This window comes from Homo sapiens, chromosome 1, assembly GCF_000001405.40.
Source record: "Homo sapiens chromosome 1, GRCh38.p14 Primary Assembly".
NCBI lineage: Eukaryota > Metazoa > Chordata > Mammalia > Primates > Hominidae > Homo > Homo sapiens.
In genome coordinates, this window is record NC_000001.11 from 165,493,289 (window position 1) to 165,506,134 (window position 12,846).

Sequence of the window (12,846 nt, forward strand, 5' to 3'; positions counted from 1 at the left end):
GAAATTAGTTGTTCTTTTCACCGGTAAGAAAAATCCTTCATCTGTCCCAGAAATCCCATTAAAGTGGACATTTTGATGGATAAGAACTGAAGATGGTACGTGAGGACTCCTAGGTTATGTCCCCAACCTTCCATTCAACTCCCTCACCTTAATTCTTATATTTTGTTTCATCTTTGAAATATGCTTGAGGAATTATGTTTGGAAGATGAACTTCAGAAGTTCATAAAAAACAGGATGACCAACTATCCTGGTTTGTCCAACACTGTTCTAGTTTTAGCACTGAAAGTCCACCATCCCAGAAAACTGAACCCCCTTGCCCACGCCCCCGCCCGCCTCCACTGTCTCAGGCAAACCAAGATGGCTGGTCACCCACCCAAAAGGGCTATTAGAAACACTGTACTATGAAAAAAGACTGTGATTCAGCATTTATGAAATTCATAACTGATAGACATGACTTTTACTTGGGGAAAACTAGGTGATGATTTTTTCTCTATGTAATTTTAGGGTGCCATGCATAAGAACTCAACTTTCTTCCTCTAATAAAGCCGACATGTTGACTTATAAAAGATAGGAAACAGGAAACTAATAACAATAATAGTGACGGTTAACATATTGGGCATGCACTATATTCCAGGCACTGTTCTAAGTGCTTTACATAAATAAGTCATTTAATCTTCACAACAGCCTTATTATATTCATCCCCATTTTACAGATGAGCAAATGGAGGCACAGAGATCATATACATAATAAATGTACATAATGGAATTTGGATTTGAACTCAGGCTGCCTAGGTCCAAAGTCCATGCTTTTAAATATTTCCTATATATAATGTATAATAACTCATTTATTAAGCCCCAACTATGTGCCAATCATTTTACTGAGTGTGCATTCCATAAAGTACCTCATTTAACTCTCACAATAGTCTGTCTGGTACCAGATAGGTCATTCATTCATTTATTATTTGTTGAGCTTATGCTTGTTTAAGAATCATAATATTGTATTTTTGTAGGTGAAGGAGGATGGGGGTTTGGACCAAAGTAGTAGCAGTGAAAATGGATAGGGGAGGTAAGATTCAAGAAAATTTTCTGAAGTAAAAACATTAGAATATGAGATTAATTGAACACAAGGAATGAAGAAAAATAAATTGTTTAGGACAACCCTGGGATTTTGACCTGAGGGACTGGATGGGTGGTAGTCTACCAATCAAAATCAAAACTACAAGAAGATCTACCTTGAGAGGTGCTATAGACTGAATGTTTGTGTCCCCCTAAAATTCATATGTTGAAATCCTAACCCCCAGTGTGATGGTATTAGGAGGTGGGGCCTTTGAAAGGTGATTAGGTCATGGGGCAGAGACTTCGTGAATGGAATCAGAGCCCTTATTAAAAAAAACCACCCTGGAGAGCGTCTTTGCCCATTCTGCCACGTAAGGACACAGTGAGAAGACAGTCATGTATAAACCAGGAAGCAAGTCTCACCAGACAGCAAATTTCTCAGCACTTTGATCTAAGACCTCCTAGCTTCCGGAAAAGTAAGAAATAAATTTCTATTGCTTATAAGCTATCCAGCCTATGATAATTTGTCATAGATGCTCAAAGGGACTAAGACAAGAGAGAAGTTAACGAGTTCATGTTGAAATGTATTAAGTTTCAGCTACTAAAGAGCACACCAGTTGACGTGACCAGAAAGCCTGGAAACTTTTATCTGTAGTTCAGTGGCTGGAAGCCAGTACCCTAGACTTGGTGATTAGCGTTACAGGTATAAGGAAGATTATCCAGAGAAGATGACAAATGATAGAGCCCTAGGGAATGTCAACATTTTAGGGACAGCAGAGGAGAGCCTGCCAAGGAGGCTGGAAGACTTAAGAAGAGGTAGGAGGAGAACTAGGAAACAAGTGGTTGCCCAGAAACCAAGGGAGGAGCAGGTGATGGTCAACAGGGCCAGTGCTGCAGAGAGGACAAACAGGAAGAGGGCTGAAGACAGATCATTATGACCAGGGTGTGATTCGGGATGGAGAGCACCAGATCAGAGCATGACCAGACAGCAGCAAGTCATCCCACTCCTGACCTTAGTGCCCTGACATTCCCTCAGCCAGGAATAAAATCAACCCCAATGCTGAGGGCAAGGCTAAGTCTGCCCCCTGGGGAGTTGGGGACTCCAGCTTCTGAGCCTGAAAGTTAAAGGAGCAGGCTGGGGCCCAAGGAGAGAGGCCACTACTGTTTACACATTCATTTCCAGGCACTCCTTCAGGCTATAAGACCAGCTCTAAAAAGCCCCAGAAACAAAACACAAAGCAAAAGCAAACAATTTAAAAACAAAACAACGAAACCAAAAATAAAAATAAAACCACACACACACACAAACACACACTTCCTTTTATAGCAGGAAAAAAAAAAAAGAAAAAATAATTCTACCTAATGAAATTTTCTGGACAGGTTTATGGCTGCCTGTTTATGGCTGCCTGACCTCCAACCCCAGGCTGGAGAATAACTGAGTTTTATTAAACATCAGCAAAATATGAATGAAGAGAGGGACAAGCTTTCGAAGGGTCTCATTTCATTTCCAAGCCCAAATAGCTCACAGTTGACCTTGAAACTATGGAGCATAATTTTCCTGTCAAGATGATAGAGAAAAGACAAAGTCGTGACAGGGTTCTGAATGGGAACCATTACATTCATGTGAAGCAGCTCTGTTTTTAATACCCCCTCGGGAGAAAACATAGAAAGTTATGAGCTGAGCTAAGGAAAGATACGTGGATGCAAATCTGACCCTCATTCAACTCTAGAAAATTCAGCTGGAGAAAAAACATGTTATTTGAAGTCATATGTTTGATCTTCTTATGTGAATTGCCATTATTTATCTCTACTCCCTAAGTGGTATTGCCTGGGTCCATTCTTATGCTCTGAAACCAGGCTCCGTATCCAAATCTGTGTGATCATCCAAGCATTACGAGGTCTCCCCACTAGTCCACCACACTTCATTTTTCAAGTAGCAGGAGGATTGAGCAGAGCATTCCTGTGGGGAGAGACCCAAACAGGCCACCCCCAAACTGCTTCCTTCAGGCTGATAAGCCCCCATCGTAAATTATGCTGTGACTGGAGGCTTCAGCCTCTTGCCATCAGCTTGCCTTTCTTTTGGAAAGATACCAGCTCTGTCCCCTGAAATATATCCTTTATTTTCAGAGTCCTTGAGGATTCCAAGGATCAGGAAAAGGAGCAAGAGAAGCCCCTCAATTCTAGGGCAAATCATCCCACACTGCTGTTTCCAAGCCTCAAGCTAACATCTCATTCTGGCTGCGCTCCCTTCTGGATCTCAGCAGCAATTCTACCACAGGGTGATGTGGTATTTCCAGTCTTCCACTTCACCATCCCCCACACCCACTTTCCAGCTGTTGTCAAAGCAACATGAGAATTCACTGGGAGATTCAATGAGGAGAGATGGTCAGATGGGAGGGGTGGGATAAGAGGAAAACATACTGAGATAAGAAAAGCACTTGGTCCTCAGAGAACACATTCCTGCAATGCTGGGCTGCATCTCCATGGCACATGCTTTCACACTGACTCCTGGATCTAAGTCTGAGCTTTCAAATTCATTTTCTTTGGCCTCAAAAGGTTCTCAGACTTGAAACAGGATAAAGAGAGGGAGATGGAAGGCTCTTGGGTTGATCTTCAGAACACCAGTTTGCACATTGTAGCCTACGTGCCTGCATGGGTCCGAAGATACACATTGATTGGAAAGACCTTGACCCAGCCTGTTCCAGTTCTATCCTATCCTTCTAGTCAATGACCCTGCTAAAAGCAGGAAAAGTGGCTGCCTGAACCCTGAGGCTACTAAGGCCTAGACTGAAACCTGTGAGCTCCTAAGCTTAAATCCCAGCCCTTTCCAATTCCAAACATTTTTCCCCAGATAAATCACTTTTTCTGGTCATGTCATCAACTACTTGCGCATTATTTAATGGATCAGCCATATGGATGAGTCAGTTTGGCTGTTGGGGCTGCCAAAAGTAAAACCCCAATTGATATGGTGGGTTGCTTAAAAATCTTATTGACAACAATTTAATTCAGTCAAGCTGTATTTCATCCTGGGACAGTTTCAAACCTTGGAAGAAGGGGAATCACCATGTCCACTATCTCGACTGGAAACTGGGTTCTGAGGCTGTGCTGATGCATGTGTCTATAGCAACTCTGGAGAAAACAGTCCATTTAAAAGTTGCAACAGTGACCTCCAAACTTTGGGAGGGGTTATAACATCACGTAGCCATTTGGTTCTGTATGGACTCTGTCCCCAAACATACAATCTAAAGTTGACCGTGCCGGTGCCTGGGCACACTGTGGGGCCTGGTCGGGAGCAGGTGCCTAGCCTGGCCTGACCCCACATACTCCCCACCCTCTGCACTCTGATGCTGAGTGGGTGCCAACCCCATCCCAGCCAGGATGATGGTGAAGTATTTCCTGGGCCAGAGTGTGCTCCAGAGGTCCTGGGTCCAAGTGTTCGCCGCCTAATGACAGCGGTACCCAAATCCCTACAGCAAACACAGTACACAGGGTGGTGACCCTTGAGCAGAGGCTCCTGTCCTGGCAACCTGACCAAGACCAGCAGATGCCCTGCTGGGCTGAGCCACTGTTTCCTGCCAGTGCTGCTCGCTCGGTGTCCATCCTGGAACACTCTACTGTGAAGCCACGGAAACAGACATGACCACCTCACCTGGAACATCAACCACACCCAGCTGTGGTGGTAGAGGAACCACGCGCTTACTCTGGGAACTCTGACAGCAGCGCCTGGACCCAAATCCACTGGAAAGCCTGGGTCTCCTGTAGCTTATTTAACCATCTCCAGAGCTGTCCAGCAATTTGGTCTCACCCAATTCAAAACCAACGTGATCACGACTAGGAAGGGTTTTGAATACATCTTGGCCAAGCTGCACAGTGTGGCCCCTTCCAAAACACTTATTGAGACAGCTAAGGGACCCAAGGAGAAGGCAAAGGAGACAGCACTGGAAGCTGCAGAGAAGGCCAAAGACCCAGCCATCCAGGGAGCCCCCAAACAGCAGCTGCAGTTAGTGTAGCCAGCTCACCACGCCACAGCACCCCAGACAGCTCAGCCAACTTCCTCTACCCTCTCCCCATTGTATGTTATTATTAAAAAATCAACTTCCAGCCCCCCAAAAGAAATTTTTAAAAATATTTAAAGTTAATTGTAAATGATTTTGATTTTGAGATGTCTGTGTGAATTTCATTATAATCTTGCATTCTCTTAGACACTCAGGGTTTCTCCCAAAAAATCCAGCAAGGAATCAACCTTCTGCCCCTTAGGTCAGGAAATAGTCTTGCCAATGCTAAGAAGGAGAGCAAAGTTTTTCAAAAGTTAAGGCTCCCTCTAGGGCAACATATATGACGTGTTCAGATAAGGCTTTGAGCATTAGTTCTGACCCTATCCCAGCTACTCCAGCCTGTACCTACTCCTCAGAGAAGGCTGCATTAGAAAGCTTCATGGGGTTCTCATGGAAAGAGGGTGGCTAGGGAGAGAAACTCCCACAGTCTTCCATGACACCATGTCTTCCAATAATAACGGCTAACATTTATTGAGCTTTTACTATGTGCTAGACACTATTCTAAGTGTACTCCCTAATCTAATCCTTATTTAAAACTCTCTGAAGGTGGTACTATCATTATCTCCACTTTACAGGTGGAGAAACGGAGACACAAAGAGATCAAGCAACTTACCTAGAGACATACAAGGAATAAGTAACAGTGCCAGGATTCTAGCAAAGGAAGTCAGGCTGCAGGGTTCATCTCTTAACTGCTATATCCCAGCAGCTCTTGAACCTGAGCAGGAAGAAGCATTTGGAAGGCTTGGTAAAATACAGATTGCTGGGCCTTGCTCCCAGAGTTTCTGATTCAGTAGTCCTGGGTGAGACCTGAGGATTTACTTCTCTAGCACATTCCAGGGTGATGCTGATGATACTGGACCACACATTTGAGAATCACTGTCTGTGCTATTCTACCTCTGGAGAAAATTCTTGATAGAACTTTCTTCTTCCCCACACACTTCTCCACTCCAGATACAAAGCTCAATGAGAGATGAGTTATACTGAGTAATCTCACAAGATCAACTAGCCAGTCTTTCAGGAGGCCTCAACTATTTCTCAGGCATCACTGTGTCAGGAACAGAATCCCAGCCTTCTGGGTGGAGCCTCTCTGAGCCACTGACTGGAAATACAGTCCATGGGAAATTAAGGTCCAGGCCGGCACCTCTTCATTTTTCTATCTAAACTCACTCCTTTGTTGATAACACATTGTTTCTAAGCATATGAGCGTTATTAAGCAACAGCAAGGCCAAGGTGGGGGGACTGCTAGAGGCCAGGATTTCGAGACCAGCATGGGCAACCGGGCAACAAGTTCCCATCTCTACAAAAAAAAATCAAAACATTAGCCGAGTGTGATGGCACACACCTGTGGTCCTAGCTACTCAGTAGCCTGAGGCAGGAGGAACACTTGGGCCCAGGAGGTTGAGGCTGCAGTGAGCCAAGATCAGCCACTGCACTCCAATCTGGGTGACAGAGGGAGCCTCTGTCTCTAAAACAAGAAGATGCAAATAGTAAATCTCATTTGTTTGCTAAAACTTTCTTTATAGATGTTTTTAAAGTTATTATATCTCCCCAGGTTAATTAATTATTTATTTATTGAGACGGAGTTTCATTCTTGTTGCCCAGGCTGCAGTGCAATGGCAGGATCTCGGCTCACCACAACCTCCGCCTCCCAGGTTCAAGCAATTCTCCTGCCTCAACCTCCCAAGTAGCTGGAATTACAGGTGCCCGCAACCACGCCTGGCTAATTTTTGTATTTTTAGTAGAGATGAGGTTTCACCTTGTTGGCCAGGCTGGTATCGAACTCCTGGCCTCAGGTGATCCACCCACCTCGGCCTCCCAAAGTGCTGGGACTACAGGCGTAAGCCACCATGCCAGCCTCCCCAGGTTAACTTATAAGCTCATTCATTTATTCGTTTACTTCAGAGTCACTTCAGAGATATGTAGAACAACAAAATACACATATGTGGGTGGGGAACTCATAGTACAGATAAAATACAAACTAAGCGATTCTGTAAGATAAAGACAGGATAAAGTTAGTACACAAAGATGCAAACCATAAGACAAACTCAAAGAAGGAAACACAACAGGTGCTAAGATTTACAGTTTCTTAGAAGCTCTTTGACACACTGAGATCTAAAAAATATTCCTGTCATTAAAAGGCATACTACATGATGTGGTCTACAATGTTCTCCACAGCATCTCCAAGTTAAATACAAAAAAATGTTTCACAGTACATTTATTAGAGTAGCTCTCAAAGCACACTCTAGGATATAATATTCTGCAAAATATAGACCCTTCAGGGACCTACATATCAAGGCAACTGCCTTACCTACAGTAGGTTGCAATAAATATTTGAGAAGTAAAAACACTTCCAGTAGTTGGCTCTTCACTATTCATACTTCAAAGTATGTGTATGAAGCACTGCAACTGCACTTCTGTCCAAATGCCTTGTAATTCTGATACTTTTGCCACTAACCTTCCACCCAACTTACCTTGCTAACTTGAACTTCATTTCCTAATGCTTGAAGACTATTAGTACATCCTCATAGTGAAAGCCATCATATCATCCCTTTTTTAAAAAGTCCAGTTTTTCTCAAAAGATGACTCTTAAAGGTGTATCATTAAGCACTCTCATCAAATCACCCATTCATTAGTTTTGGTCTGTGACATCCTCTACTCTGACATTTTTCTGTGCCATTTGTAGCATAATGAGAACCATTTAAACCAAGTATCAGAGGCTGAGATTCTAATCCTGTCCCCATAACTTGGTGGCTGTGTGGCTTAACTTCTCCCAGGCTTGTTTTTCTCATTTGTTAAATGAGAGAGAAGAAAACTCGCCACCTAAAAACTCTCATTTAAGAAATGAATAAAAGACTTGAATGAACAAATGTTGACTCTTAGAATTATGAATTAAAGTTACAAGAATGATCTTAACTAATGGTCACTGACATGTTTTCCCCTAGAAGTACTGATGTGTTACTGCTTCTAGGGGAAAACTACTACTATTCCCCCTGGAAGCAGTGATGCAATCATCAGTGTATGTGATCCTTCACCTGCGGCTGCTAGGGCAGCGGTGATGAACAGTGAGAGATTCCCACTGTGAAGCATAGTGGATGGATAGGAATACTTCATCACGGCTCAGCCAGCGTTGCTCAGATCCAGAGAGTGACTTCAACAAGCCAGTCTACACCAGTCATTGTACCACGAGGATCTGGTAGACAGCAGGAGTCAGCGTCTAAAGAAAACAGGGCTGGAGAATAAAGAGACATAAGAACAAAAGTAGTGAGTTGAAACAGGATAACAGGGGACAGGCTGAGGAAACTTCTGGAGTGGCAAGCCAATATCCACAGCTGGACCTGTTTAGATGGACAGGAAGGGATCACACAGATACTCTCTCACCCAGCTCACCTTACCAGTCATGGCACATGCTTGCAAGCCTGCCATGAAACTGGAAGAACTGGGAGGTCAGCCCAGTTTTCAAACTCAGACTCGCCAAATTGGTGTCCTTCCTGAGGCTCTCAACCTCAGAGTTAAGGAATGTGTTACTAGCAGTGGTTAATGTGTGAAAGTTTGTAAAGGCCTTATTTATATATGTGCTTTATTTACTTATATAAATTAGAACCGAGTTGAGTTTGTCTGAGTGATAACTCCTCTCCTACTGGTATTCCAATGGTTTCTTTGAATTAAAGAGAAAGAGTGGGAAAACAGCCAGTGGTCTGGGAATTGCACATAATCTGAGGATTACTCATGGGTGTGACATGACATTAGGGAACCTAACCAGTTATAGAAGGAAATGGTGGGAAACAAGTGCTGGGGCCAAGAAAACTGAGTAGCCTCATGGAAATAACACAAGAGACGACATGGAATAGCTGTTGAAGGCCTGCTATGTATTTCAGAGAATCTGGGGAGGTACGAAGACCCCAGTGCTCCATGCTCACAATGGCAACAGAAGGAAGAATCAAGCTAATTACAGATGGTCCTGCATAGCCCTGGACTAATGATCCATCCGATTCTGATCATAAATCTTTTTCTCCCTAAAAGAGTTCTAATAATTTTATAATCTGGCTTCACTCATTTGGAATTCTTTAAACAGTAATATTCAGATACTAATTGCAGGAACAGAGAGGTACTTCAACCAATTCTTTTTTTTTAAGTGATTCATTTACAATTTACTTATTAACAACTTCTGGTAGCCAGCCTCCAAGGTGCCTCCCAGTGATCCCCCTTTCCTGGGTATTCATGCCCTAGTGTAGTCCTTTCCTATATCCTACCAGCATTGGTCTGTGTGACAAATAAAAGATGGCATAAGTGATGATGTCTGCCTTCCTACACTAGGTCATAAAAGATACTGCTGCTTTCACCTTGCCCTCTTGGACCACTTGTTCTGAGAGAAGTTAGCTGCCACGCTGTGAGAACACCCAAGCAGCCCTATAGAGAGTTCCACCTGAAGAGGAATTGAGGTACCCATTTTTCAGCCTTGCAAGTTCACCATGTTGGAAGCAGATCCTCCAGTGCCAGTCAAGATTGCAAATGACTGCGGCCTCATGAGAGTTCCCGAGCCAGAATCTCTCAGCTAACCCACTTCCAGAAACCATGTATGATCATAAATGTGTTTTGTTGCCTTCAGTCATTTAATTTGGGATAATTTGTTCTGGGCAATAGAAAACCAATATATAACTCATGTGCTAATTACAAATTACTATTATCACTCATTCAAACCAGAAACCTAAGGATGCTTATTTTCTACAACTTAGGAAATATTTAATAAAAATTTGTTGCTCATTCCCCATAAATAGCCCAAATAAATTTCAGGTTTTATTGTATTTATGTGAACCTGCCCTGACTTTGACCAACTAGTATATTATTTATTTGGGATTAGAGTCAGTTCTCCATTGGTGGCCTCCCAGAAACAAGTCATTGGGAAGCTAGTCTAGTGTATATTTGGGTATATTTTATGATGATATCTAGGCTGTCATTTGGGACATGAATTAATAAGTTATTGGTGATTATTTAAAAAGCCACAGAGTCTCATCAAAGGAATTTATTTTCCTCTCATGAATTTGACAAAAAGTTTTTATGGTACCAGGAGGGAATGAGTAGCAAAGGTAATCTCTGGGTATTTTTAACACATCTAAAATAGATCAAAAGGTTTCTGGATGATTCTTCCTGTCTAGCAGAAGTTAGACAGAAAATATAAAACTCAAATTATTATTTCTCACCACGGGAAAGGTGTGAACAAGAAGCAGTGTCAAAAGAAACTTGTTCTGCTTAGGCCAGTACATCATCCTGAGAGACTACAGTCCCCGTTTCCTAGGGCTTCATGACTTAGTTGGATCTGTGAGTTCCGAGAACATTTGACATAGCAACATCTGGGAGGCAAGAGAAAAACACATATTCCAAAGCAAAATATGAACTCTGTTTAGATAGGTCCTGTCCTGAATTATATGTTCCCCTTTAATCAGTGCAAATAAGCAAAAGCTAGCAATATTTGCAAAGGTCTTAGTTATGACTTATTTTCCTCCAGAAAGAATTGTACCCACCAATTACTGACTGGGAAATGAAAGAAACCAAACTTTAATCAAGATTGTTACCCAAAGACCAAAGAAAAGTAGGCCATCCGGAGGATATTTCCCAAATATTTCAGCATAGTTTTTTTTCCCCATATACTGCTATAGGCCCTTATTATCTGATGAGAATTTCTTTATTTTTCATCCCTCCACTCCCAGGAAGCCCCTTCTGATACCTAGACTATGTGAAGAACCCTACTCTCTGCTCTCCCTCCATACAATAAGAATTTTGAAGGCTTGGTTCTGTCTAACTCGTTTTAGGGCCTCAGTGCCTAGCACAGAGCCTGGCACATGGGAATAAATTACATGTGTTGACTTAAAGTACGTTGAACTCATGATTTTCCCATCATAACATTCTGCTCCTTCTCTGGCAGTGCCTATTTGACAATTCCCCTTGATGTATTTTCTCTGTCCATTACTTTTTATAGCTCTCATTCTGAAGGTTTATATTTTACTGTTTGGATCAGCAGCAGGCAAAAAAAAAAAGGACAAAAATCTCTCCACATTTCTTCCCAGTCTGTGAGAATCTTAGAACTCAAAACACTACCATGTAACTTTACACCCACTAGGATGGCTATAAGCAAAAGAACAAAACAAAAACAGATAATAACAAGTGTTGGTGAGAATGTGGAGAAATAGGAACCCTCATACATTGCTGGTGGGGATGTAAAATGGTGCAGCCACTGTGGAAAACAGTTTGCCAGTTTCTCGCAAAGTTAATCATAAAAGTACCAAATGACCCAACAATTCCACTCCTAGGTATATACCCAAGAGAATCAAAAACAGATCTTCAAACAAAAACTTGTAGACAAGTCTTCAAAGCAGTACTATTCACTATAGCCAAAGGTGGAAACAATTCAAGTGTCCATTAACTCATGAATGAGTAACAATATGCTGTATCTCTACACAGCGGAATATTATTTGGTCATGAAAAGGAATGCAGTTGTAATAGATACTACAGCATGGATAAGACTTGAAAGCATATGTTAAGTGAAGAAAGCCAGTTACAAAAGACTAACCGTTACAAAATTTCATTTATATGAAATGTCCAGAACAGGCAAATCTATAGAGACAGAAAATAGATTACTAGTTTCTTAGGTCCTGGGGGAGGGTGAAAGGATAGGTAATTGATAGCTAAAGGATAAAGAGTTTCTCTTTGTGATGATGAAAATGTCCTAAAATTGACTGTGATGATGGTTGTGCATACCTGTGAATATACTAAAAACTATTGAATTGCACATTCTAAATGGGTGAATTATATGGTATATGAATTATTATTATTATGAGATAAGGTCTTGTTCTGTCTCCCAGGCTGGAGTGCAGTGGCACAATCTCTGCTCACTGCAGCCTCAGCCTCCCGAGCTCAAGTAATCCTCCCACTTCAGCCTTCTGAGTACCTGGGACCACAGGTGTGTGCCCTTATGCCTGGCAATTTTTTTTTTTTTTAAGAGAAGGGCTCCTGAGCTCAAGCAATCTGAGCCACCATGCCTGGCCTTGGTATGTGAATTATATCTCTAATAAAGCTGTTTTTAAAAGAAACTACCATGGGCCAAACGTGTGGCTCATGCCTGTAATCCCAGAACTTTGGGAGGCCAAGGTGGGTGAATCACTTGAAGTCAGGTGTTCGAGACCAGCCTAGCCAACATGGCGAAACCCCATCTCTACTAAAAATACAAAAAAAAATTAGCCGGGCATGGTGTTGCACACCTGTAGTCCCAGCTACTTGGCAGGCTGAGGCAGGAGAATTGCTTGAACCCGGGAGGTAGAGGTTGCAGTGAGCCAAGATCACACCACCGCACTCCAGCCTGGGCAACAGAATGAAGTTGCCTAAAAAAAAAAAAAAAAAAAAAAAACAAACAAAAAAACAAACAACAAAAAAAAGTAGCATGAGGAAATTGTAGTGTTGGAATCGTTCTGTATCCTGTTTGTGGTAGTAGTTACAGGACCATGCATGTGTTAAAATCCATAAACTTTACACTCCCAAAAAGTAAATTTTACTGTATGTTTGTAAAAGTAAAATAAAATAATAAACCTATTATATGCCCCTTTAGTTGGAATTATAAGCTGGGATCGATGGTCAACTTCAATTGAGACCAGTGCAGCTAATTAAAAATTTCTGTGTAGGTGCAAAGAGAGCACTTAGACCCAAAGAACCAAGCCTATACCTATTTCCTTAGCTGCATTCTGCAG

At 42.2% G+C, this 12,846-nt stretch overlaps 1 long non-coding RNA gene and 1 pseudogene across 1 annotated transcript in view; one reads left to right on the forward strand and one right to left on the reverse strand.

The window, feature by feature from the left end:
* Positions 1-12,846, reverse strand: part of LRRC52-AS1 (LRRC52 antisense RNA 1) — a 105,314-nt gene that overhangs the window by 16,447 nt on the left and 76,021 nt on the right. The window contains exon 5 of the long non-coding RNA NR_026744.2: positions 8,143-8,339. This is a non-coding gene — a long non-coding RNA (LRRC52 antisense RNA 1). The remainder of the gene's footprint in view (positions 1-8,142; positions 8,340-12,846) is intronic.
* On the forward strand, positions 4,437-5,056 carry PRELID1P7 (PRELID1 pseudogene 7; annotated as a pseudogene).